At 63.4% G+C, this 22,930-nt stretch overlaps 1 protein-coding gene, 1 non-coding gene and 2 pseudogenes across 3 annotated transcripts in view, besides 1 other annotated feature; all 4 read left to right on the top strand.

Moving 5' to 3' along the window:
• The window catches only part of PKD1P5-LOC105376752 (PKD1P5-LOC105376752 readthrough), a 43,821-nt pseudogene that overhangs the window by 2,975 nt on the left and 17,916 nt on the right, over positions 1-22,930 (top strand). Inside the window, exons 2-30 of the transcript NR_146331.1 lie at positions 2,994-3,065; positions 3,187-3,258; positions 3,527-3,696; positions 3,909-4,580; positions 4,699-4,882; positions 5,318-5,538; positions 5,727-5,842; positions 6,248-6,374; positions 6,730-6,977; positions 7,451-8,206; positions 9,106-9,237; positions 9,417-9,592; positions 9,926-10,059; positions 10,522-14,138; positions 14,358-14,507; positions 15,442-15,585; positions 15,713-15,992; positions 16,086-16,299; positions 16,366-16,525; positions 16,916-17,068; positions 17,290-18,142; positions 18,241-18,434; positions 18,887-19,043; positions 19,224-19,476; positions 19,601-19,796; positions 21,293-21,463; positions 21,550-21,693; positions 21,788-21,998; positions 22,089-22,215. The product of NR_146331.1 is annotated as a PKD1P5-LOC105376752 readthrough (transcript). The remainder of the gene's footprint in view (positions 1-2,993; positions 3,066-3,186; positions 3,259-3,526; positions 3,697-3,908; positions 4,581-4,698; positions 4,883-5,317; positions 5,539-5,726; positions 5,843-6,247; positions 6,375-6,729; positions 6,978-7,450; positions 8,207-9,105; positions 9,238-9,416; positions 9,593-9,925; positions 10,060-10,521; positions 14,139-14,357; positions 14,508-15,441; positions 15,586-15,712; positions 15,993-16,085; positions 16,300-16,365; positions 16,526-16,915; positions 17,069-17,289; positions 18,143-18,240; positions 18,435-18,886; positions 19,044-19,223; positions 19,477-19,600; positions 19,797-21,292; positions 21,464-21,549; positions 21,694-21,787; positions 21,999-22,088; positions 22,216-22,930) is intronic.
• PKD1P5 (polycystin 1, transient receptor potential channel interacting pseudogene 5) overlaps positions 1-22,930 on the top strand; it is a 27,494-nt pseudogene that overhangs the window by 3,064 nt on the left and 1,500 nt on the right.
• Positions 3,360-4,227: an enhancer, noted in NCBI's record as "H3K27ac-H3K4me1 hESC enhancer chr16:18488581-18489448 (GRCh37/hg19 assembly coordinates)". NCBI's record gives its function as "activates a minimal SCP1, AML or CMV promoter by ChIP-STARR-seq in primed H9 embryonic stem cells {active_cell/tissue: H9 hESC(primed)}" and the evidence as "EXISTENCE:reporter gene assay evidence [ECO:0000049][PMID:30033119]".
• Positions 19,541-19,600, top strand: MIR6770-3 (microRNA 6770-3). The gene has a single exon (NR_107061.1). It is a non-coding gene; the product is annotated as a microRNA 6770-3 (primary transcript).
• NPIPA9 (nuclear pore complex interacting protein family member A9) overlaps positions 22,112-22,930 on the top strand; it is an 18,750-nt gene continuing 17,931 nt past the window's right edge. The window contains exon 1 of the mRNA NM_001405004.1: positions 22,112-22,215. The gene's annotated coding sequence lies outside the window, so the exon portion shown is untranslated. The remainder of the gene's footprint in view (positions 22,216-22,930) is intronic.

Genomic DNA, 22,930 nt, shown 5'->3' with positions numbered 1-22,930 from the left:
GATCCGCCCGCCTCGGCCTCCCAAAGTGCTGGGATTACAGGCATGAGCCACCACGCCCAGCCCTGACCCATGTTTTGAACCAAATTCCAGCCACCCTTTTATCTGCAAGCATTTTGGAGGGCATCGCAATACCGCAGACCCACCTAACACAACAGACAATTCCTTCATGCCACCGAAGGCCTGGTGTGTTCACATTTTTGGTTTAATAGTTTGAATTAAGAGCCAAATAAGGTCCACACACTGCAATTAGTTGATGTCTTTTTTTTTTTTTTTTTTTTTTTTTTTGAGACGGAGTCTTGCTCTTGTCTCCAGGCCGCAGTGCAGTGGCATGATCTCAGCTCGCCGCAACCTCCGACTCCCTGGTTCAAGTGATTCTCCTGCCTCAGCCTCCCGAGTACCTGGTAGCTGGGTTTACAGGCATGCACCACCGTGCCCAGCTAATTTTTGTATTTTTAGTAGAGACGGGGTTTTACCGTGTTGGCCAGGATGGTCTCGATCTCCTGACCTCGTGATCTGCCCACCTCGGCCTCCCAAAGTGCTGGGATTACAGGCGTGAGCCACCGCACCCGGCCAATGTCTTTTAAAAATATATACTTTTTTTTTTTTTTTTTTGAGACAGAGTTTCGCTCTTGTTGCCCAGGCTGGAGTGCAGTGGCGCGATCTCAGCTCACGGCAACCTCCGCCTCCCGGGTTCAAGCGATTCTCCTGCCTCAGCCTCTCCAGTAGCTGGGATTACAGGCGTGTGCCACCATGCCTGGCTAATTTTGTATTTTTAGGAGAGACGGGGTTTCTCCACGTTGGTCAGGCTGGTCTCAAACTCCTGACCTCAAGTGATCCACCTGCCTTGGCCTCCCAAAGTGTTGGGATTACAGGTGTGAGCCAGCGCGCCCAGACAAAAATGTATATGTGTGTCTTTAAGGCTGGTCAAGCAAAGCAGTGGAACTGGAGAAAGAATGAAGAATTCTACCTGGCTGTGATCAATTCGTTGTGAACACCACTGTGCTTGGACCAGCTAGCTGATGTCTTTTGTTTTGTTTTGTTTGAGACGGAGTCTGGCTCTGTCACCCAGGCTGGAGGACAATGGTGTGATCTCGGCTCACTGCAGCCTCCACCTCCCGGGTTCAAGCGATTCTCCTGCCTCAGCCTCCTGAGTAGCTGGGATTACAGGCGCGCGCCACCACGCCCAGCTAATTTTTAAAAATATTTTTAGTAGAGATGGGGTTTCACCATGTTGGTCAGGCTGGTCTTGAACTCTTGGCCTTAGGTGATCTGCTTGCCTCGGCCTCCCGAAGTGCTGGGATTACAGGTGTGAGTGATGTCTTTTATTTATTTATTTATTTATTTTTTATTATTATTTGAGATGGAGTCTCACTCTGTTGCCCAGGCTGGAGTGCAGCAGTGCCATCTCGGCTCACTGCAAGCTCCGCCTCCTGGGTTCACACCATTCTCCTGCCTCAGCCTCCCGAGTAGCCTGGACTGGTGCCCGCCACCACGCCCAGCTAATTTTTGCATTTTTAGTAGAGACGGGGTTTCACCCTGTTGGCCAGGATGGTCTTGATCTCTTGATCTCATGATCCACCCACCTTGGCCTCCCAAAGTGCTGGGATTACAGGAGTGAGCCACCGTGCCCAGCCATCTTTCTTTTCTTGCTTTCTCTTTCTTTTCTTTCGAGACTGGGTCTTGCTCTGTCGCCCAGGCTGGACTGCAGTGGCACAATCATAGCTCACTGCAGCCTCGACCTCCCTGGCTCAAGCGATCCTTCCTCCTCAGCCCCCCGAGTAGTTGGAACTACAGCTCCACACCACCATGCCTGGCTGATTCTTTTTTTCCTTGTAGAGATGGGGTCTTGCTATGCTGTCCATCCTGGTCTCAAACTCCTGGCCTTCCCAAAGCACTGGGATTACAGGCATAAGCCACCACAGCCAGTTTCCTTTTCTTCTTTTTAACTGGAATAGTTGACTTTTTCTTTATTAGCTGTGTGTCAGGAGGGTATTTTTGGCCTTTAGTATGTCGTCTAAGTTGCTAGTGCTTTTCTGAGATTGTAGTTTGTTTTCTAATTTTATTTATATTTTGCGTAGAAGTTGTGTATTTTAGATGGAGTTAGGTCGGCTGGTCTTTGATGTTTTATTTATTAATTATGTATGTATTTATTTATTTTTGAGGTAGAGTCTCGCCGTTTCACCCCAGCTGGAGTACAGTGATGCGATCTCAGCTCCCTGTAGCCTTGACCTCTCTGGGCTCAAGTGATTTTTCTCTCCTCTACCTCCCGAGTACTTGGGACCCCAGGCGCATGCCGCCATGCCTGGCTAATGTGTATTTTTTTGTAGATACGGGGTCTCACTGTGTTGCCCAGGGTGGTTTCAAAATCCTGGGCTCAGGCGATCCTTCCGTCTCAGCTCCCACGGTGCTGTGTTACCGGCGTGTGCCCCAGTGCCTGGCCGTCTTGGAGGTCTTGTTTCTCTGGGTTTATGCCTCAAGGTGGCGCCTGCTCCCCTGTGCTCCCTGGTAGCCTGGTAGTGAGCCTGCTTCTCACACAGTCATACCTGGTTGTGGTCCCACAGTGGGACCACCCTGTTGGGTTCAGAACAGGAGATGGGGGCCCCTCGAGTCTGTGTGGGGGCTGTGGACAGGGTTGGGAGACCTTGGCTCTGTGGGGGACTGTGGACAGGGGATGGGGGGCCTTGGCCCTGCGTGGGATGGGTTGGGGGTCCGTGCCCTTCCTGGCCCTGGGTGGACAGGTCCAGGTGGCACTCGGCATAGGGCTGAGATGGGTGCAGAGGGCTGAGGCCCCCAGGCCTCTCCTGGCTTGGTTTCCCCAGATGAGTGTTCATTTGGGTCTTCCATCAGAAAGGCCCCTCCTGACCTCTGGGAGTGGGGAGCTCAAGGGTGGGAGGCCTTAGCTTGGGGATGCTGGAAATGTGTGGGATGGGCCCAGGGATGGCCTCTGGCCTACTAAGGGCTCTGGCCCTGACCCACGGCCACTCACTCCTCAGAGACGTCTCCCACAACCTGCTCCGGGCGCTGGACGTTGGGCTCCTGGCGAACCTCTCGGCGCTGGCAGAGCTGTGAGTGTCCCCCAGTCGTGCCAGCATGCGGGGCTCACTCCGGGTGGGCTGGCGGCACCGCCTCTTGCTGCTCAGCTGTGGGGGCTTCCGTCAGCTTTGCCGAATCCCCCCTCTCTTCCAGGGATATAAGCAACAACAAGATTTCTACGTTAGAAGAAGGAATATTTGCTAATTTATTTAATTTAAGTGAAATGTAAGTTGTGGTTCTTTGGGTGGGGTCCTGGCTGGACCCCAGGCCCCCAGTATCCCTTCTGCCCTCCCAGTTGGTCCGTGTCCCCTTCCAGGCTTGAGACCAGATCCTGGGGGCAGTTCACTACCTGCTTGGAGCCCCCCAGTGCCGGCTTGGTTGGGGCAGGGGAGGCGGTGCTGTCAGGGTGGCTCCAGGGCCTGGTTGCCAGTGGGGGGCTGGCATAGACCCTTCCCACCAGACCTGGTCCCCAACACCTGCCCCTGCCCCGCAGAAACCTGAGTGGGAACCCGTTTGAGTGTGACTGTGGCCTGGCGTGGCTGCCGCGATGGGCGGAGGAGCAGCAGGTGCGGGTGGTGCAGCCCGAGGCAGCCACGTGTGCTGGGCCTGGCTCCCTGGCTGGCCAGCCTCTGCTTGGCATCCCCTTGCTGGACAGTGGCTGTGGTGAGTGCCGGTGGGTGGGGCAGCTCTGTCCTTCCCAGCCAGGTGGGACCTGGGCCCTGCAGACACTGGGCAGGGCTCAGGAAGGCCTCTCTGGGGGGGGCCTCCGGGCCAAGGGAACAGCATGGGAGCCTGTGAGTGCGGCGGGCGGATGGGGGGGTGTGGGGTGGAGCCAGGAGGAGCAGAACCCGGGGTCCAGTGGCTGCCTCTTCTAGGTGAGGAGTATGTCGCCTGCCTCCCTGACAACAGCTCAGGCACCGTGGCAGCAGTGTCCTTTTCAGCTGCCCACGAAGGCCTGCTTCAGCCAGAGGCCTGCAGCGCCTTCTGCTTCTCCACCGGCCAGGGCCTCGCAGCCCTCTCCGAGCAGGGCTGGTGCCTGTGTGGGTCAGCCCAGCCCTCCAGTGCCTCCTTCGCCTGCCTGTCCCTCTGCTCCGGCCCCCCGCCGCCTCCTGCCCCCACCTGTAGGGGCCCCACCCTCCTCCAGCACGTCTTCCCTGCCTCCCCAGGGGCCACCCTGGTGGGGCCCCACGGACCCCTGGCCTCCGGCCAGCTAGCAGCCTTCCACATCGCTGCCCCGCTCCCTGTCACTGCCACACGCTGGGACTTCGGAGACGGCTCCCCCGAGGTGGATGCCGCTGGGCCGGCTGCCTCGCATCGCTATGTGCTGCCTGGGCGCTATCACGTGATGGCCGTGCTGGCCCTGGGGGCCGGCTCAGCCCTGCTGGGGACAGACGTGCAGGTGGAAGCGGCACCTGCCGCCCTGGAGCTCGTGTGCCCGTCCTCGGTGCAGAGTGACGAGAGCCTCGACCTCAGCATCCAGAACCGCGGTGGTTCAGGCCTGGAGGCCGCCTACAGCATCGTGGCCCTGGGCGAGGAGCCGGCCCGAGGTGAGTGTCTGCTGCCCACTCCCCTTCCTCCCCAGGGCCATCCAGATGGGGCAGAGCCTGGTACCCCCGTTTTGGGCCCACACTGACCGTTGACACCCTCGTTCCCACCGGTCTCCAGCGGTGCACCCGCTCTGCCCCTCGGACACGGAGATCTTCTCTGGCAACGGGCACTGCTACCGCCTGGTGGTGGAGAAGGCGGCCTGGCTGCAGGCGCAGGAGCAGTGTCGGGCCTGGGCCGGGGCCGCCCTGGCAATGGTGGACAGTCCCGCCATGCAGCGCTTCCTGGTCTCCCGGGTCACCAGGTGCCTGCCCCCACCCCCCGAGGGGCCATAGGTTGGGAGATCTCTGAAGCAGTGGGGCAGAGCCTGCGGCTGGGGAGTCTCAGGAGGAGGGAGGTGGGAGCTGGGCCGGCCCTGGTGAGCAGGTGGCGCCGGCCGGTGGGGCCGTTCCTGTCAGCTCTGCAGATGCAGAGGTGGACACGAGCTGGGGGCAGCCTCCGGACACTCCTGGGCACGCCATACGGGAGGTGGCCTGCACGGGGATCCCTGCCAGTGCCCACAGGCCTCGTGGGTGGGTGCTGCTGTGAGCCTGGGCTGGTGGGCCCTGCTCTCCGGGCTCTGAGCCTCAGTTTCCCCATCTGGAAAGGGGGACAGTGACGGGGCTCCCAGTGGGCTGCTGTGAGGGTGGGAGGATGGAGGAGTGCCCTGAGCCCCCTGCCATCCCACACCCGCCCCCAGGAGCCTAGACATGTGGATCGGCTTCTCGACTGTGCAGGGGGTGGAGGTGGGCCCAGCCCCGCAGGGCGAGGCCTTCAGCCTGGAGAGCTGCCAGAACTGGCTGCCCGGGGAGCCACACCCAGCCACAGCCGAGCACTGCGTCCGGCTCGGGCCCACCGGGTGGTGTAACACCGACCTGTGCTCAGCGCCGCACAGCTACGTCTGCGAGCTGCGGCCTGGAGGTGTGCGAGGGGCCAGGCAGGGGCCTGAGACGCTGGCTGTGGTTAGGGGCCTGCCGAGCGCCCGCGGTGGAGCCTGGGCTGAGGAGGAGGGGCTGGTGGGGGGGTTCTCGGGCGGCTCGGTCCCCAGTCTGTTCGTCCTGGTGTCCTGGGCCCTGGCCCGGCGCCTCACTGTGCACTTGCCACCCCAGGCCCAGTGCAGGATGCCGAGAACCTCCTCGTGGGAGCGCCCAGTGGGGACCTGCAGGGACCCCTGATGCCTCTGGCACGGCAGGACGGCCTCTCAGCCCCGCATGAGCCCGTGGAGGTAGTCGGCCCCCCACGTTCTAAAACCTGCCCTCCTGCCTGCCCCTGGAGGCCTCGCCTGCCCTGCCCACTGTGGGTCTCCCCAAAAAACTTGGGGGCCTTAATGTTGCTTGTGCCCAGTGAAGATGGTTGGGAAAATCCAGAGTGCAGAGAGGAAAGCGTTTACTCACATTACCCCCTTTTCTCTGAGTGTGGGTGAGTTATTCCTGAAAGGCAGGTCAGGGGTCCTGCCCCCCATGGACAGTTTCCATCGGAGTCTTCCTCTCGAGCGACAGGAGCCAGGCCTGTGGGGGTCCGATGGCTCGCTCTCCTTCCCTCCCCTCTTCCTGGGAAGTTCGGGTGGGGGGAGTCTGGGCTTCAGGCTGGGATGGGGTCTGTGGAGCTGAGGCGGCCCCCTGCCCACCAGGTCATGGTATTCCCGGGCCTGCGTCTGAGCCGTGAAGCCTTCCTCACCACGGCCGAATTTGGGACCCAGGAGCTCCGGCGGCCCGCCCAGCTGCGGCTGCAGGTGTACCGGCTCCTCAGCACAGCAGGTGGGACTCTGGGGTGGTGGGCGCCGCAGGACTCGGGGTGGCCTCTCTGAGCTCTCACGTCTGCTGGTCCTGTGGCCATCAGAGTGGTTCCCAGTCTTAGGTGGACAGAGCAGGGGTTCCAGAGACACCAGCTCATTCCAGGTGTCCTGGGGGTGGATCGGGTGGGGCCTGCCTGGGGACCGGCCTGGGTCAGTCAGCTGGCCGGAGACAGGGACGCAGCACTGGGCTGGGAGTGCTGCCCGGGCGGGGAGACCTGTCCTCACAGCAAGGCCAGGCTCGCTGGTGCAGGCAGTTGGGCATCTCTGACGGTGGCCCGTGGGCGAATGAGGGCCCCAACACCCTCCCCTCCTCGCAGGGACCCCGGAGAACGGCAGCGAGCCTGAGAGCAGGTCCCCGGACAACAGGACCCAGCTGGCCCCCGCGTGCATGCCAGGGGGACGCTGGTGCCCTGGAGCCAACATCTGCTTGCCGCTGGACGCCTCCTGCCACCCCAGGCCTGCGCCAATGGCTGCACGTCAGGGGCCAGGGCTACTCGGGGCCCCCTATGCGCTATGGAGAGAGTTCCTCTTCTCCGTTCCCGCGGGGCCCCCCGCGCAGTACTCGGTGTGTGGCCCTGACCTGGGTCTGTTCCCTGCATCTCCTCAGGCCACCTTCCTGTCTGCTGCCCAGGGTCTGGGTCTGCGCAGCAGACACACCCAGCCTGCAGGCCCCTCCCACGTCCTTGCCACCTCTGACCTCCGACCTCCGACCTCCAACCTCCGACCTCTGCAGTGCCCTTGCCCCTCTCCCAGTGGGAGAAGCTCTCGCCTGGGCCCTTGGCACGAGCTGTGCCTCCTCTTCCTCTCTCCCAGCACAGCCGCTCCTTCCTGTCTGCCAGGTCTTGGCCTGTGTCCTCTCCCCGTGTGTCCCCCTGTCTGCAACTGTCCTGCCTGTCCTTGTCACGAGCACTGTGGGGAGGCTCCCTGAGGTGTGGCTGACGAAGCGGGGAGCCCTGCGTGTCCACCCTCATCCGTCGTGCAGGGGTCCACGGGCCATGACCGTGAGGACGTGATGCAGCCCTGCCTCCCTCTCCACAGGTCACCCTCCACGGCCAGGATGTCCTCATGCTCCCTGGTGACCTCGTTGGCTTGCAGCACGACGCTGGCCCTGGCGCCCTCCCGCACTGCTCGCCGGCTCCCGGCCACCCTGGTCCCCAGGCCCCGTACCTCTCCGCCAACGCCTCGTCATGGCTGCCCCACTTGCCAGCCCAGCTGGAGGGCACTTGGGCCTGCCCTGCCTGTGCCCTGCGGCTGCTTGCAGCCACGGAACAGCTCACCGTGCTGCTGGGCCTGAGGCCCAACCCTGGGCTGCGGCTGCCTGGGCGCTATGAGGTCCGGGCAGAGGTGGGCAATGGCGTGTCCAGGCACAACCTGTCCTGCAGCTTTGACGTGGTCTCCCCAGTGGCTGGGCTGCGGGTCATCTACCCTGCCCCCCGCGACGGCCGCCTCTACGTGCCCACCAACGGCTCAGCCTCGGTGCTCCAGGTGGACTCTGGTGCCAGCGCCACGGCCACGGCTCGCTGGCCTGGGGGCAGTGTCAGCGCTCGCTTTGAGAATGCCTGCCCTGCCCTGGTGGCCACCTTCGTGCCCGGCTGCCCCTGGGAGACCAATGATACCCTGTTCTCAGTGGTAGCACTGCCGTGGCTCGGTGAGGGGGAGCACGTGATGGACGTTGTGGTGGAAAACAGCGCCAGCCGGGCCAACCTCAGCCTGCGGGTGACGGCGGAGGAGCCCATCTGTGGCCTCCGCGCCACGCCCAGCCCCGAGGCCCGTGTACTGCAGGGAGTCCCAGTGGTGAGTATGGCCGAGGCTCCACCACCAGCCCCCAGGCAGGTGCCTGCAGACAGGGTGCTCACACAGGGCGTGAGGCCTGGCTTCCCAGTGAGGGCAGCAGCCCAGTTACTGGGGACGTCGGCCCCGGGCAGGTCCTGCTGGCTGGCTCCTCAGGCTACCTGGTGGGCTTTAAATTCCTGGAAAGTCACGGCTCTGACAGCGGCTCCGCTAACTCATTCCACCGTCTCATTTCATGAAATGAATTTAAAACTCCGCTCCCTGACCTCACACGAGCCCCCGTGAGTCTCTCACGCCCTCTGCTGTGTTCTCACCTGGCTAAAGCGAGTGGCTTTTGAGGTGGAGTCTGAACCCCTGATGGGAAACTGCGGGCTGCCCGCGGTGCCACCATGCTGGGTACATGGGGGACAGGGCTGTCTCCGTCTTGCGGGTACCTGCCCCTTCACCAGGGGCCTTGGGAGGGGCCATCAGAAATGGCGTGACCTGTGCAGCCTGTCCTGGGTTCTGTAAGCCAGTGTAGGTGCTGTCCCTGTGAGGCCCGTGTGCCTCCCCTCACTGCTCCGAGCTCTCTGGCTGAGGAGCTGGGGCAGGAGCCCCGGGAGGGTCTGAGAAGACTCAGAGAGAGGTGGACTCTTTGTAGCTGGTACTAGGTTTGCTTTACAGATGGGGAAACTGAGGCACAGAGAGGTTGAGGCATTAGTAGTACTACATGGCTGGCTGGAGAGCCGGACAGTCAGTGTCCCAGCCCGGGCTTGGCTCCCATGGCATGCAGAGCCCCGGCCACCTCCTCTCCTCTGTGCCCCGCGTGGGACTCTCCAGCCTGACGGGAGGTGTGTCCAGGAGGCGACAGGCTAAGGGCAGAGTCCTCCACAGAGCCCAGGCTGACACCAGTCCCCCCGCAGAGGTACAGCCCCGTGGTGGAGGCCGGCTCGGACATGGTCTTCCGGTGGACCATCAACGACAAGCAGTCCCTGACCTTCCAGAACGTGGTCTTCAATGTCATTTATCAGAGCGCGGCGGTCTTCAAGCTCTCAGTAGGTGGGCGGGGGTGGGGAGGGGAGGGGATGGGGTGGGGCGGGGCGGGCTCCACCTTCACCTCTGCTTCATGCTGCCCGAGGACGCTGCCATGGCTGTGGGTGAGTGGAGGGAGGGACGCTAAGCAGGGCCAGGCCTCTCACCTGCCACCTGGGCCCACTGATGCCTATCCCTGCAGCTGACGGCCTCCAACCACGTGAGCAACGTCACCGTGAACTACAACATCACCGTGGAGCGGATGAACAGGATGCAGGGCCTGCGGGTCTCCACAGTGCCGGCCGTGCTGTCCCCCAATGCCACGCTGGCACTGACGGCGGGCGTGCTGGTGGACTCGGCTGTGGAGGTGGCCTTCCTGTGAGTGACTCGGGGGCCGGTTTGGGGTGGGCACCAGGCTCTTGTCCCGGCCCCAGCCTCAGCCGAGGGACCCCACATCAGGGGGTTGCTTTTCTGAGCCTCGGTTTCCCTATCTGTTGGGAGGTACTGGGTGCACAGGAGCCCTGAGGCTGCACGGGAGCCGGGAGAGGCCTCAGCACAGCCGGGTGGGCCCTGAATGGAGGCCCGGGGCGTGACTGCAGAGTGGAGCCTCAGCTGGGTCCCAAGCACCCCCTGCCCCCCCACCGCGCACCTGTGCCCCGCCACTGCGCACCCCTGTCCCGGTTCACTCACTGCCTCCCACCGCCCCGGCAGGTGGACCTTTGGGGATGGGGAGCAGGCCCTCCACCAGTTCCAGCCTCCGTACAACGAGTCCTTCCCAGTTCCAGACCCCTCGGTGGCCCAGGTGCTGGTGGAGCACAATGTCACGCACACCTACGCTGCCCCAGGTGAGGGATGAGGGGGTGAGGGGGCCACTGCCTTTCAGGCTCTGAGCACGGGGCACCCCCAGTCCCCCAGTCAAGCTGCCCCCCTTCCTCCCCAACAGCCCTCACTGTGACCTCACCTGGGCTGATGGCTTAGGTCCCTACTGGGGTGAGGGAGGGGCCAGGCGTGGGGGGAGTGGACAGGGAAGCTGGGCCCCCTGAACTGCCCCCCGCCGCGGCCTGGCTCTTGCTGCTCTGCTGCCCCGAGTGCAGCTGCACTTGGAGGCGGTGCCGTCCTCACCAGGCAGCCCTCAGTGCTGCTGCACCTGTGCTCCGTCCCGCACGTGGCTTGGGAGCCTGGGACCCTTAAGGCTGGGCCGCAGGTGCAGCCGTTCACCCCGGGCTCCTCAGGCGGGGGGCTTCTGCCGAGCGGGTGGGGAGCAGGTGGGGGTGCCGCGGCTGCCCCACTTGGGCCTGTCCCCACAGGTGAGTACGTCCTGACCGTGCTGGCATCTAATGCCTTCGAGAACCGGATGCAGCAGGTGCCTGTGAGCGTGCGCGCCTCCCTGCCCTCCGAGGCTGTGGGTGTGAGTGACGGCGTCCTGGTGGCCGGCCGGCCCGTCACCTTCTACCCGCATCTGCTGCCCTCGCCTGGGGGTGTTCTTTACACGTGGGACTTCGGGGACGGCTCCCCTGTCCTGACCCAGAGCCAGCCGGCTGCCAACCACACCTATCCCTCGAGGGGCATCTACCACGTGCGCCTGGAGGTCAACAACACGGTGAGCGGTGCGGCGGCCCAGGCGGATGTGCGCGTCTTTGAGGAGCTCCGCGGGCTCAGCGTGGACATGAGCCTGGCCGTGGAGCAGGGCGCCCCCGTGGTGGTCAGTGCCGCGGTGCAGACGGGCGACAACATCACGTGGACCTTCGACATGGGGGACGGCACCGTGCTGTCGGGCCCAGAGGCCACAGTGGAGCATGTGTACCTGCGGGCACAGAACTGCACAGTGACCGTGGGTGCGGCCAGCCCCGCCGGCCACCTGGCCCGGAGCCTGCACGTGCTGGTCTTCGTCCTGGAGGTGCTGCGCGTCGAGCCCGCCGCCTGCATCCCCACTCAGCCTGACGCGCGGCTCACGGCCTACGTCACCGGGAACCCGGCCCGCTACCTCTTCGACTGGACCTTTGGGGATGGCTCCTCCAACACGACCATGCGGGGGTGCCCGACGGTGACACACAACTTCACGCGTAGCGGCACGTTCCCCCTGGCGCTGGTGCTGTCCAGCCGCGTGAACAGGGCGCGTTACTTCACCAGCATCTGCGTGGAGCCAGAGGTGGGCAACGTCACCCTGCAGCCAGAGAGGCAGTTTGTGCAGCTCGGGGACGAGGCCCGGCTGGTGGCATGTGCCTGGCCCCCGTTCCCCTACCGCTACACCTGGGACTTTGGCACCGAAGAAGCCGTCCCCGCCCGTGTCGGGGGCCCTGAGGTGACGTTCATCTACCGAGACCCAGGCTCCTATCTTGTGACAGTCACCGCGTCCAACAACATCTCCGCTGCCAATGACTCAGCCCTGGTGGAGGTGCAGGAGCCCGTGCTGGTCACCAGCATCAAGGTCAATGGCTCCCTTGGGCTGGAGCTGCAGCAGCCGTACCTGTTCTCTGCTGTGGGCCGTGGGCGCCCCGCCAGCTACCTGTGGGATCTGGGGGACGGTGGGCGGCTCGAGGGTCCGGAGGTCACCCACGCTTACAACAGCACAGGTGACTTCACCGTTAGGGTGGCCGGCTGCAATGAGGTGAGCCGCAGCGAGGCCTGGCTCAATGTGACGGTGAAGCGGCGCGTGCGGGGGCTCATCGTCAATGCCAGCTGCACGGTGGTGCCCCTGAATGGGAGCATGAGCTTCAGCACCTCGCTGGAGGCCGGCAGTGATGTGCGCTATTCCTGGGTGCTCTGTGACCGCTGCACGCCCATCTCTGGGGGTCCTGCCATCTCTTTACACCTTCCGCTCCGTGGGCACCTTCAATATCATCGTCACAGCTGAGAACGAGGTGGGCTCCGCCCAGGACAGCATCTTCGTCTATGTCCTGCAGCTCATAGAGGGGCTGCAGGTGGTGGGCGGTGGCCGCTACTTCCCCACCAACCACATGGTACAGCTGCAGGCCGTGGTCAGGGACGGCACCATCTCCTACAGCTGGACTGCCTGGAGGGACAGGGGCCCGGCCCTGGCCGGCAGCGGCAAAGGCTTCTCGCTCACCGCGCTCGAGGCCGGCTCCTACCATGTGCAGCTGCGGGCCACCAACATGCTGGGCAGCGCCTGGGCTGACTGCACCGTGGACTTCGTGGAGCCTGTGGGGTGGCTGATGGTGGCCGCCTCCCCGAACCCAGCTGCCGTCAACACAAGCGTCACCCTCAGTGCCGAGCTGGCTGGTGGCAGTGGTGTCGTATACACTTGGTCCTTGGAGGAGGGGCTGAGCTGGGAGACCCCCGAGCCATTTACCACCCACAGCTTCCCCACACCCGGCCTGCACTTGGTCACCATGACGGCAGGGAACCCGCTGGGCTCAGCCAACGCCACCGTGGAAGTGGATGTGCAGGTGCCTGTGAGTGGCCTCAGCATCAGGGCCAGCGAGCCGGGAGGCAGCTTCGTGGCGGCCGGGTCCTCTGTGCCCTTTTGGGGGCAGCTGGCCACGGGCACCAATGTGAGCTGGTGCTGGGCTGTGCCCGGCGGCAGCAGCAAGCGTGGCCCTCATGTCACCATGGTCTTCCCGGATGCTGGCACCTTCAACATCTGGCTCAATGCCTCCAACGCAGTCAGCTGGGTCTCAGCCACGTACAACCTCACGGTGGAGGAGCCCATCGTGGGCCTGGTGCTGTGGGCCAGCAGCAAGGTGGTGGCGCCCGGGCAGCTTGTCCATTTTCAGATCCTGCTGGCTGCCGGCTCAGCTGTCACCTTCCGCCTGCAGGTCGGCGGGGCCAGCCCCGAAGTGCTCCCTGGGCCCCGTTTCTCCCACAGCTTCCCCCGCATCGGAGACCACGTGGTGAGCGTGCAGGGCAAAAACCACGTGAGCTGGGCCCAGGCGCAGGTGCGCATCGTGGTGCTGGAGGCCGTGAGCGGGCTGCAGGTGCCCAACTGCTGTGAGCCTGGCATCGCCATGGGCACTGAGAGGAACTTCACAGCCCGCGTGCAGCGCGGCTCTCGGGTCGCCTACGCCTGGTACTTCTCGCTGCAGAAGGTCCGGGGCGACTCTCTGTTCATCCTGTCGGGCCGCGACGTCACCTACACGCCGTGGCCGCGGGGCTGTTGGAGATCCAGGTGCGTGCCTTCAACGCCCTGGGCAGTGAGAACCGCACGCTGGTGCTGGAGGTTCAGGACGCCGTCCAGTATGTGGCCCTGCGCAGCGGCCCCTGCTTCACCAACCGCTCGGCGCAGTTTGAGGCCGCCACCAGCCCCAGCCCCCGGCGCGTGGCCTACCACTGGGACTTTGGGGATGGGTCCCCAGGGCAGGACACAGATGAGCCCAGGGCCGAGCACTCCTACCTGAGGCCTGGGGACTACCGCGTGCAGGTGAACGCCTCCAACCTGGTGAGCTTTTTCGTGGCGCAGGCCACGGTGACCGTCCAGGTGCTGGCCTGCCGGGAGCCGGAGGTGGACGTGGTCCTGCCCCTGCAGGTGCTGATGCGACGATCACAGCGCAACTGCCTGGATGCCTACGTTGACCTGCGCGACTGTGTCACCTACCAGACTGAGTACCGCTGGGAGGTGTACCGCACCGCCAGCTGCCAGCGGCCGGGGCGCCCGGCGCGTGTGGCCCTGCCCGGCGTGGACGTGAGCCGGCCTCAGCTGGTGCTGCCGTGGCTGGCGCTGCCTGTGGGGCACTACTGCTTTGTGTTTGTCGTGTCATTTGGGGACACGCCACTGGCACGGAGCATCCAGGCCAATGTGACGGTGGCCCCCGAGCGCCTGGTGCCCATCACTGAGGGTGGCTCCTACCGCGTGTGGTCAGACACACAGGACCTGGTGCTGGATGGGAGCGAGTCCTACGACCCCAACCTGGAGGACGGCGACCAGACGCCGCTCAGTTTCCAGTGGGCCTGTGTGGCTTCGACACAGGTCAGTGCGTGGCAGGGCCGTCCTCCCTGCCCCTCACCCGTCCACACCCATGAGCCCAGAGAACACCCAGCTTGCCACCAGGGCTGGCCCGTCCTCAGTGCCTGGTGGGCCCCGTCCCAGCATGGGGAGGGGGTCTCCCGCACTGTCTCCTGGGCCGGGCTCTGCTTTAAAACTGGATGGGGTTCTCGGGCCACGTCGCCCCTTGTTCTCGGCCTGCAGAGGGAGGCTGGCGGGTGTGCGCTGAACTTTGGGCCCCGCGGGAGCAGCACGGTCACCATTCCACGGGAACGGCTGGCAGCTGGCGTGGAGTACACCTTCAGCCTCACCGTGTGGAAGGCCGGCCGCAAGGAGGAGGCCACCAACCAGACGGTGGGTGCCGCCCGCCCCTCGGCCACTTGCCTTGGACAGCCCAGCCTCCCTGCTCATCTACTGTTTTCCGTGTTTTAGTGCTGGTGGAGGCCGCGCGCTCTCCCCTCTCTGTTTCTGATGCAAATTCTATGTAACACGACAGCCTGCTTCAGCTTTGCTTCCTTCCAAACCTGCCACAGTTCCACATACAGTCTTCAAGCCACATATGCTCTAGTGACAAAAGCTACACAGTCCCCCAGCAATACCAACAGTGAGGAAGAGCCCCTTCCCACCCCAGAGGCAGCCACTGTCCCCAGCCCATGTCCCTGTTGCTGGATGTGGTGGGCCGGTTCTCACCCTCATGCTCCCCACTCTGGACCGGCCAGGAGGCTTGGTGACCCTGAGCCCATGGTGGCTGCTCCTGCTGCTGTCAGGCGGGGCCTGCTGGTGCCCCAGAGTGGGTGTCTGTTCCCCAGTCCCTGCTTTCCTCAACGGGCCTGATTGGGGGTCTGCCCAGAGGGGTCGTCTGAGGGGAGGGTGTGGGAGCAGGTTCCATCCCGGCTCAGCCTCCTGACCCAGGCCCTGGCTAAGGGCTGCAGGAGTCTGTGAGTCAGGCCTACGTGGCAACTGCGGTCCTCACACCCACACATACGTCTGTTCCCACACGCATCCCCCCAGGGGCCCTCAGTGAGCATTGCCTGCCTCCTGCCAGGGTCCAGCTGGGTCCAGTACACCAGAACACACACCCCAGTGTCCTCTGCCCTGTGTATGCCCTTCCGCCGCCCAGGTTGGAAGGTGGCAAACCGGATGAGTATCCTGGGAGGGGGTGAGCTCACCGGCAGTGGCCAGGCCCCTGGGAAACCTGGAGTTTGGGAGCAGCATCCTCCACGGGTCCCCCAGACCTTCCAGCAGGCCAAATAGACCTGTGTTGGAGGTAACCCCACTCCCACGCCAGGTGCTGATCCGGAGTGGCCGGGTGCCCATTGTGTCCTTGGAGTGTGTGTCCTGCAAGGCACAGGCCGTGTACGAAGTGAGCCGCAGCTCCTACGTGTACCTGGAGGGCCGCTGCCTCAATTGCAGCAGCGGCTCCAAGCGAGGGGTGAGTGTTGAGCGGGGTGTGGGCGGGTTGGGGATGGGTCCCATGGCCGAGGGGACGGGGCCTGCAGGCAGAAGTGGGGCTGACAGGGCAGAGGGTTGCGACCCCTCACCATCCCTTCTGCCTGCAGCGGTGGGCTGCACGTACGTTCAGCAACAAGACACTGGTGCTGGATGAGACCACCACATCCACGGGCAGCGCAGGCATGTGACTGGTGCTGCGGCGGGGCGTGCTGCGGGACGGCGAGGGATACACCTTCACGCTGACGGTGCTGGGCCGCTCTGGCGAGGAGGAGGGCTGTGCCTCCATCCCCCTGTCCCCCAACCGCCCGCCGCTGGAGGGCTCTTGCCGCCTCTTCCCACTGGGCGCTGTGCACGCCCTCACCACCAAGGTGCACTTCGAATGCACGGGTGAGTGCAGGCCTGCGTAGGGGGAGCAGCGGGATCCCCCGACTCTGTGACGTCACGGAGCCCTCCCGTGATGCTGTGGGGACCATCCCTCAGGCTGGCATGACGCGGAGGATGCTGGCGCCCCGCTGGTGTACGCCCTGCTGCTGCAGCGCTGTTGCCAGGGCCACTGCAAAGAGTTCTGTGTCTACAAGAGCAGCCTCTCCGGCTACGGAGCCGTGCTGCCCCCGGGTTTCAGGCCACACTTCGAGGTGGGCCTGGCCGTGGTGGTGCAGGACCAGCTGGGAGCCGCTGTGGTCGCCCTCAACAGGTGAGCCAGGCCGTGGGAGGGCGCCCCCGAGACTGCCACCTGCTCACCAACCCCCTCTGCTCATAGGTCTCTGGCCATCACCCTCCCAGAGCCCAACGGCAGCGCAATGGGGCTCACAGTCTGGCTGCACGGGCTCACCGCTAGTGTGCTCCCGGGGCTGCTGCGGCAGGCCGATCCCCAGCACGTCATCGAGTACTCGCTGGCCCTGGTCACTGTGCTGAACGAGGTGAGTGCAGCCTGGGAGGGGACCTCACATCTGCTGCATGCGTGCTGGGGACCAAGACCTGTTCCCCTGCCTGGAGCTTTGCGGAGGGCTCATCCCGGGCCCCAGAGATAAATCCCAGTGACCCTGAAGCAGCACCCCGACGTTCCGCTCCCAGCAGCCACACCCACCGGGCCCTCTCCGGTGTCTGCTTTCCACAATGCAGCCCCCGCCCAGGAGGGCCCATGTGCTTACCCTGTTTTGCCCATGAAGAAACAGCTCAGTGTTGCGGGTCAGTGCCCACATCACACAGCATCTAGCACGTAACTGCACCCCGGGAGTCGTGGGCATCTGCTGGCCTCCTGCCGGCCTCCTGCCCTGCTGACAGCTTGCTGTGCCCCCTGCCTGCCCCAGTACGAGCGGGCCCTGGACGTGGCGGCAGAGCCCAAGCACGAGCGGCAGCGCCGAGCCCAGATACGCAAGAACATCACGGAGACTCTGGTGTCCCTGAGGGTCCACACTGTGGATGACATCCAGCAGATCGCTGCTGCGCTGGCCCAGTGCATGGTAGGATGGCCCCACATGCTCACCCCGCCCCGCATGCCTGCCAGGGTACTGGGTTCAGCCCCCCAGGGCAGACGGGCAGCTTGGCCGAGGAGCTGAGCCTCCAGCCTGGGCTCCTTCCTGCCGTGGCGTTCCTCGGTCTCTGACCTGCTTCAGTAGCCTCAGCCTTTCTGCTGTCCTGTGTGAACGCAGGGTGCCTCTCGGGGGACCCAGGGTGTAAAGAGGGGCCCAGATGTGGGGAGGGACTAAGAAGATGCTGCTCTGTGCCCTCCACTCTCCCCTCCCCTCCCCCTTCCCTCCCCTAGCCCCTCCCCTCCCCTTTCCCTCCCCTAACCCCTCCCCTCCCCCTTCCCTCCCCTAGCCCCTCCCCCCTCACCTAGCCCCTGCCTCCTCCCCTAGCCCCTCCCCTCCCCTAGCCCTTCCCCTCCTCCCCTCCCCTAGAGCTTCCCCTCACCTCATCCCTCCCTTTTCTCCATCTCTCTCCCCTTTTCTCCATTTCCCCCCCGATCCTCCCCGTCCTTTTGTCCATTCCCCTCATCTTTCTTATCCCCCTTATCCTCCTTCCCCTCCCTTATCCCCCTTCCCCTCCCTTATCCCCCTTATCCCCTTCCCCTCCCTTTCCCCCTGCTCCTCTTCTTCTCCCCTTTCTCTTTTCTCTACCCTTTTCCTTCCTTTTTCCTCCCTCTCCCCATCATCCCCCTCATCTTCGTCCTCATCCCCATCCCCTTCCCCCTCCCCCTCCACCACTCTCTCTCCAGCTTCCCTCTTCCTTCTGCCTGCACCTCGCTCTCTGCCCCCTCAGGTTCCCCCTTTCTCCCAGTCCCCACCCTCCGGCTCCCCCTTTTTGCCTGCCCCCACCCTCCCTCTGCCTCCCTGTCTCTGCACTGACCTCACGCCTGTCTGCAGGAGACCTCATCCACCTGGCCAGCTCAGACGTGCGGGCACCACAGCGCTCAGAGCTGGGAGCCGAGTCACCATCGCGGATGGTGGCGTCCCAGGCCTACAACCTGACCTCTGCCCTCACGCCCATCGTCACGCGCTCCCGCGTGCTCAACGAGGAGCCCCTGACGCTGGCGGGTGAGGAGATCGTGGCCCAGGGCAAGCGCTCGGACCCGCGGAGCCTGCTGTGCTATGGCGGCGCCCCAGGGCCTGGCTGCCACTTCTCCATCCCCTAGGCTTTCAGCAGGGCCCCGGCCAACCTCAGTGACGTGGTGCAGCTCATCTTTCTGGTGGACTCCAATCCCTTTCCCTTTGGCTATATCAGCAACTACACCGTCTCCACCAAGGTGGCCTCGATGGCGTTCCAGACACAGGCCGGCGCCCAGATCCCCATCGAGCGGCTGGCCTCAGAGCGCGCCTCACCGTGAAGGTGCCCAACAACTCGGACTGGGCTGCCCGGGGCCACCGCAGCTCCGCCAACTCCGTTGTGGTCCAGCCCCAGGCCTCCGTCGGTGCTGTGGTCACCCTGGACAGCAGCAACCCTGCGGCCGTGCTGCATCTGCAGCTCAACTATACGCTGCTGGACGGTGCATGCAGCGGTTGGGGCACACGCGGCCCCCTGGCCTTGTTCTTGGGGGGAAGGCGTTTCTCGTAGGGCTTCCATGGGTGTCTCTGGTGAAATTTGCTTTCTGTTTCATGGGCTGCTGGGGGCCTGGCCGGAGAGGAGCTGGGGGCCACGGAGAAGCAGGTGCCAGCTCTGGTGCAGAGGCTCCTATGGCCTTTCAGGCCCATGGCAGAGGGTGGGCTCAGGAGGGCCATCGTGGGTGTCCCCCGGGTGGTTGAGCTTCCCGGCAGGCGTGTGACCTGCGCGTTCTGCCCCAGGCCGCTACCTGTCTGAGGAACCCGAGCCCTACCTGGCAGTCTACCTGCACTCGGAGCCCCGGCCCAATGAGCGCAACTGCTCGGCTAGCAGGAGGATCCGCCCAGAGTCCCTCCAGGGTGCCGACCACCGGCCCTACACCTTCTTCATTTCCCCGGGGTGAGCTCTGCGGGCCGGCCTGGCAGGGCAGGGCAGGGCATCATGGGTCAGCATTGCCCGGGTTACGGGCCCCGTGGGGACGGCAGGCAGCGAGGGGACTGGACCGGGTATGGGCTCTGGGACTCCGACATCCAACCTGGCGGAGCCTGGGCTCACGTCCACTGCCCCTTCCCTTCCCAGGACCAGAGACCCAGTGGGGAGTTACCGTCTGAACCTCTCCAGCCACTTCCGCTGGTCGGCGCTGGAGGTGTCCGTGGGCTTGTACACGTCCCTGTGCCAGTACTTCAGCGAGGAGGACGTGGTGTGGCGGACAGAGGGGCTGCTGCCCCTGGAGGAGACCTCGCCCCGCCAGGCCGTCTGCCTCACCCGCCACCTCACCGCCTTCGGCACCAGCCTCTTCGTGCCCCCAAGCCATATCCGCTTTGTGTTTCCTGTGAGTGACCCTGTGCTCCTGGGAGCCTCTGCAGAGTCGAGGAGGGCCTGGGTGGGCTCGGCTCTATCCTGAGAAGGCACAGCTTGCACGTGACCTCCTGGGCCTGGCGGCTGTGTCTTCACAGGAGCCAACAGCGGATGTAAACTACATCGTCATGCTGACATGTGCTGTGTGCCTGGTGACCTACATGGTCATGGCCGCCATCCTGCACAAGCTGGACCAGTTGGATGCCAGCCGGGGCTGCGCCATCCCCTTCTGTGGGCAGCGGGGCCGCTTCAAGTACGAGATCCTCGTCAAGACAGGCTGGGGCCGGGGCTCAGGTGAGGGGCGCGGCGGGGTGGCAGGGCCTCCCCTGCTCTCACTGGCTGTGCTGGTTGCACCCTCTGGGAGTGAGTCTCGTCGCAGGCGTCAGAACAAGGCAGTTTTTGCAGTGCTGTGTGAAGGGCTCGTGTGTTCATCCTGGGAATGACCTCGTGAGCACTCACTGTCCCTGAGGACTAGGACAGCTCCTAGCTGGAAGTAGGTGCCAGTCAGTCAGGGTGGGCAGCCCACGTTCTACACAGTAGCGTAGCCCCACAAGTTACGTGAGCATCGCTACCACTGTGGGAGACCATGCATCCACCCGCGATCCTGACTGCATAGCTCGTCTCTCAGACGGAGGCGCCAGCACCCTCCCCGTGGCTGTTTCTTCAATACCTCCATTTTCCTTTCTTTGGAATTGCCCTTCTGGCATTCCCTTTTTGTTTTCGTTTTTCTTTTTTTGGAGACGGAGTCTCGCTCTGTTGCCCAGGCTGGAGTGCAATGGCGTGATCTTGGCTCACAGCAACTTCCAGCTCCTGGGTTTAAGCGATTCCCCTTAAGCGATTCTCCTGAGTAGCTGGGAGTACAGGTGCACACCACCACACCCAGTTAATTTTTCACCATGTCAGCCAGGCGAACTCCTGACCTCAGGTGATCCGCCTGCCTCGGCCTGCCAGAGTGCTGGGATGACAGGTGTGAGCCACCACACCTGGCCGTGTTCCCATTTTTTATTTCCATGCTGCTTTCATCTTCATTTCCCAGTTCTTTCTTTTGATTACCTACTTTTAAAAACTGTCGGCCGGGTGCGGTGGCTCACACCTGTAATCCGAGCACTTTGGGAGGCTGAGGCAGGCTAATCACGGGGTCAGGAGATCGAGACCATCCTGGCTAACGGTGAAACCCTGTCTCTACTAAAAAATACAAAAAAATTAGGCCGGCGTGGTGGCAGGCGCCTGTAGTCCCAGCTCCTCGGGAGACTGAGGCAGGAGAATGGCGTGAACCCGGGAGGCGGAGCTTGCAGTGAGCTGAGATTGCGCCACTGCACTCCAGCCTGGGTGACACAGCAAGACTCCATCTCAAAAAAAAAAAAAAAAAAAATACTGTCACCTGGGTCTGTCACTGGGAGAGGAGGTGACACAGCTTCACGCTTCGCAGTCTGTGCATGAACTGAGGGACGGGTGTGTGGTGCAGGTCACCGGTTGTGGCGTGACTGAGGTGTGGACAGGTGTGCAGTGCGGGTCACTGGTTGTGGTGTGGACTGAGGCGTGTGCAGCCATGTTTGCATGTTACAAGTTACAGTTCTTTCCATGTAACTTAATCATGTCCTTGAGGTCCTGCTGTTTATTGGACAAATTGCAGTAACCGCAGCTCCTCGTGTATAGCAGAGCTGTGCAAAGCCGGGACTGCCTGTGTGGCTCCTTGAGTGCGCGGAGGCCAAAGCTGAGATGACTTGCCTGGGATGCCACACGTGTTGGGCAGCAGACCGAGCCTCCCACCCCTCCCTCTTGCCCTCCAGGTACCACGGCCCACGTGGGCATCATGCTGTATGGGGTGGACAGCCGGAGCGGCCACCGGCACCTGGACGGCGACAGAGCCTTCCACCGCAACAGTCTGGACATCTTCCAGATCGCCACCCCGCACAGCCTGGGTAGCATGTGGAAGATCCGAGTGTGGCACGACAACAAAGGTCTGTATGGACCCTGCCAAGCTCTGCCCCTCTGCCCCTGCATTGGGGCGCCCTGCGAACCTGACCTCCCTCCCGCGCCTCTGCAGGGCTCAGCCCTGCCTGGTTCCTGCAGCACATCATCGTCAGGGACCTGCAGACGGCACGCAGCACCTTCTTCCTGGTCAATGACTGGCTTTCGGTGGAGACGGAGGCCAACGGGGGCCTGGTGGAGAAGGAGGTGCTGGCCGCGAGTAAGGCCTCGTTCCGTGTTCCCACTCCGTGGGAGGTTGGGCAGGGTGGTCCTGCCCCGTGGCCTCCTGCAGTGCGGCCCTCCCTGCCTTCTAGGTCACGCAGCCCTGTTGCGCTTCCGGCGCCTGCTGGTGGCTGAGCTGCAGCGTGGCTTCTTTGACAAGCACATCTGGCTCTCCATATGGGACCGGCCGCCTCGTAGCTGTTTCACTCGCATCCAGAGGGCCACCTGCTGCGATCTCCTCATCTGTCTCTTCCTGGGCGCCAACGCCGTGTGGTACGGGGCTGTTGGAGACTCTGCCTACAGGTGGGTGCCGTAGGGGTCGGGACAGCCTCTTCCTGCCCAGCCCTTCCTGCCCCTCAGCCTCACCTGTGTGGCCTCCTCTCCTCCACACAGCACGGGGCGTGTGTCCAGGCTGAACCCGCTGAGCGTCGACACAGTCGCTGTTGGCCTGGTGTCCAGCGTGGTTGTCTATCCCGTCTACCTGGCCATCCTCTTTCTCTTCCGGATGTCCCGGAGCAAGGTGGGCTGGGGCTGGGGACCCGGGAGTACTGGGAATGGAGCCTGGGCCTCGGCACCATGCCCAGGGCCGCCACTTTCCAGTGCTGCAGCCAGAGGGAAAGGCGTCCACCAAAGGCTGCTCGGGAAGGGTCAACACACTTGAGCAGCCTTAGCTAGACTGACCAGGGAGAAAGAGAGAAGACTCAGAAGCCAGAATCGTGAAAGAACGAGGGCACTTCGCTAAGCAGACGCCACGGACAACTGCACAGCAGCACGCCAGATAACTCAGAAGAAGCAAGCACGCGGCTGTGCACGCTTCCGAAATGCACTCCAGAAGAAAATCTCAGTACATCTATAGCAAGTGAAGAGGCCGAGTTAGTCCCTTAGAAACCTCCCAGTGGCCGGGCCGGGTGTGGTGGCTCACGCCTGTAATCCCAACACTTCAGGAGGCCGAGGTGGGCGGATCTGAGTCCAGGAGTTTGAGACCAGCCTGGGCAACATAGCAAGACCCCATCTATATAAAACATTAAAAAGGGCCAGGCACGGTGGCTCATGCCTGTAATCCCAACACTTTGGGAGGCCGAGGCGGGCAGATCAGTTGAGGTCAGGAGTTCGAGACCAGCCTGGCCAACACAATGAAACCCCATCTCTACTACAAATACAAAAACAGCTGGGCATGGTGGCGGGCGCCTGTAGTCCCAGCTACTCGAGAGGCTGAGGCAGGAGAATGGCATGAA

This window comes from Homo sapiens, chromosome 16 (assembly GCF_000001405.40).
Source record: "Homo sapiens chromosome 16, GRCh38.p14 Primary Assembly".
Taxonomy (NCBI): Eukaryota; Metazoa; Chordata; class Mammalia; order Primates; family Hominidae; genus Homo; species Homo sapiens.
Note: the sequence above shows the minus strand (reverse complement) of the source record. Positions and strands in the feature narration are given on the sequence as shown.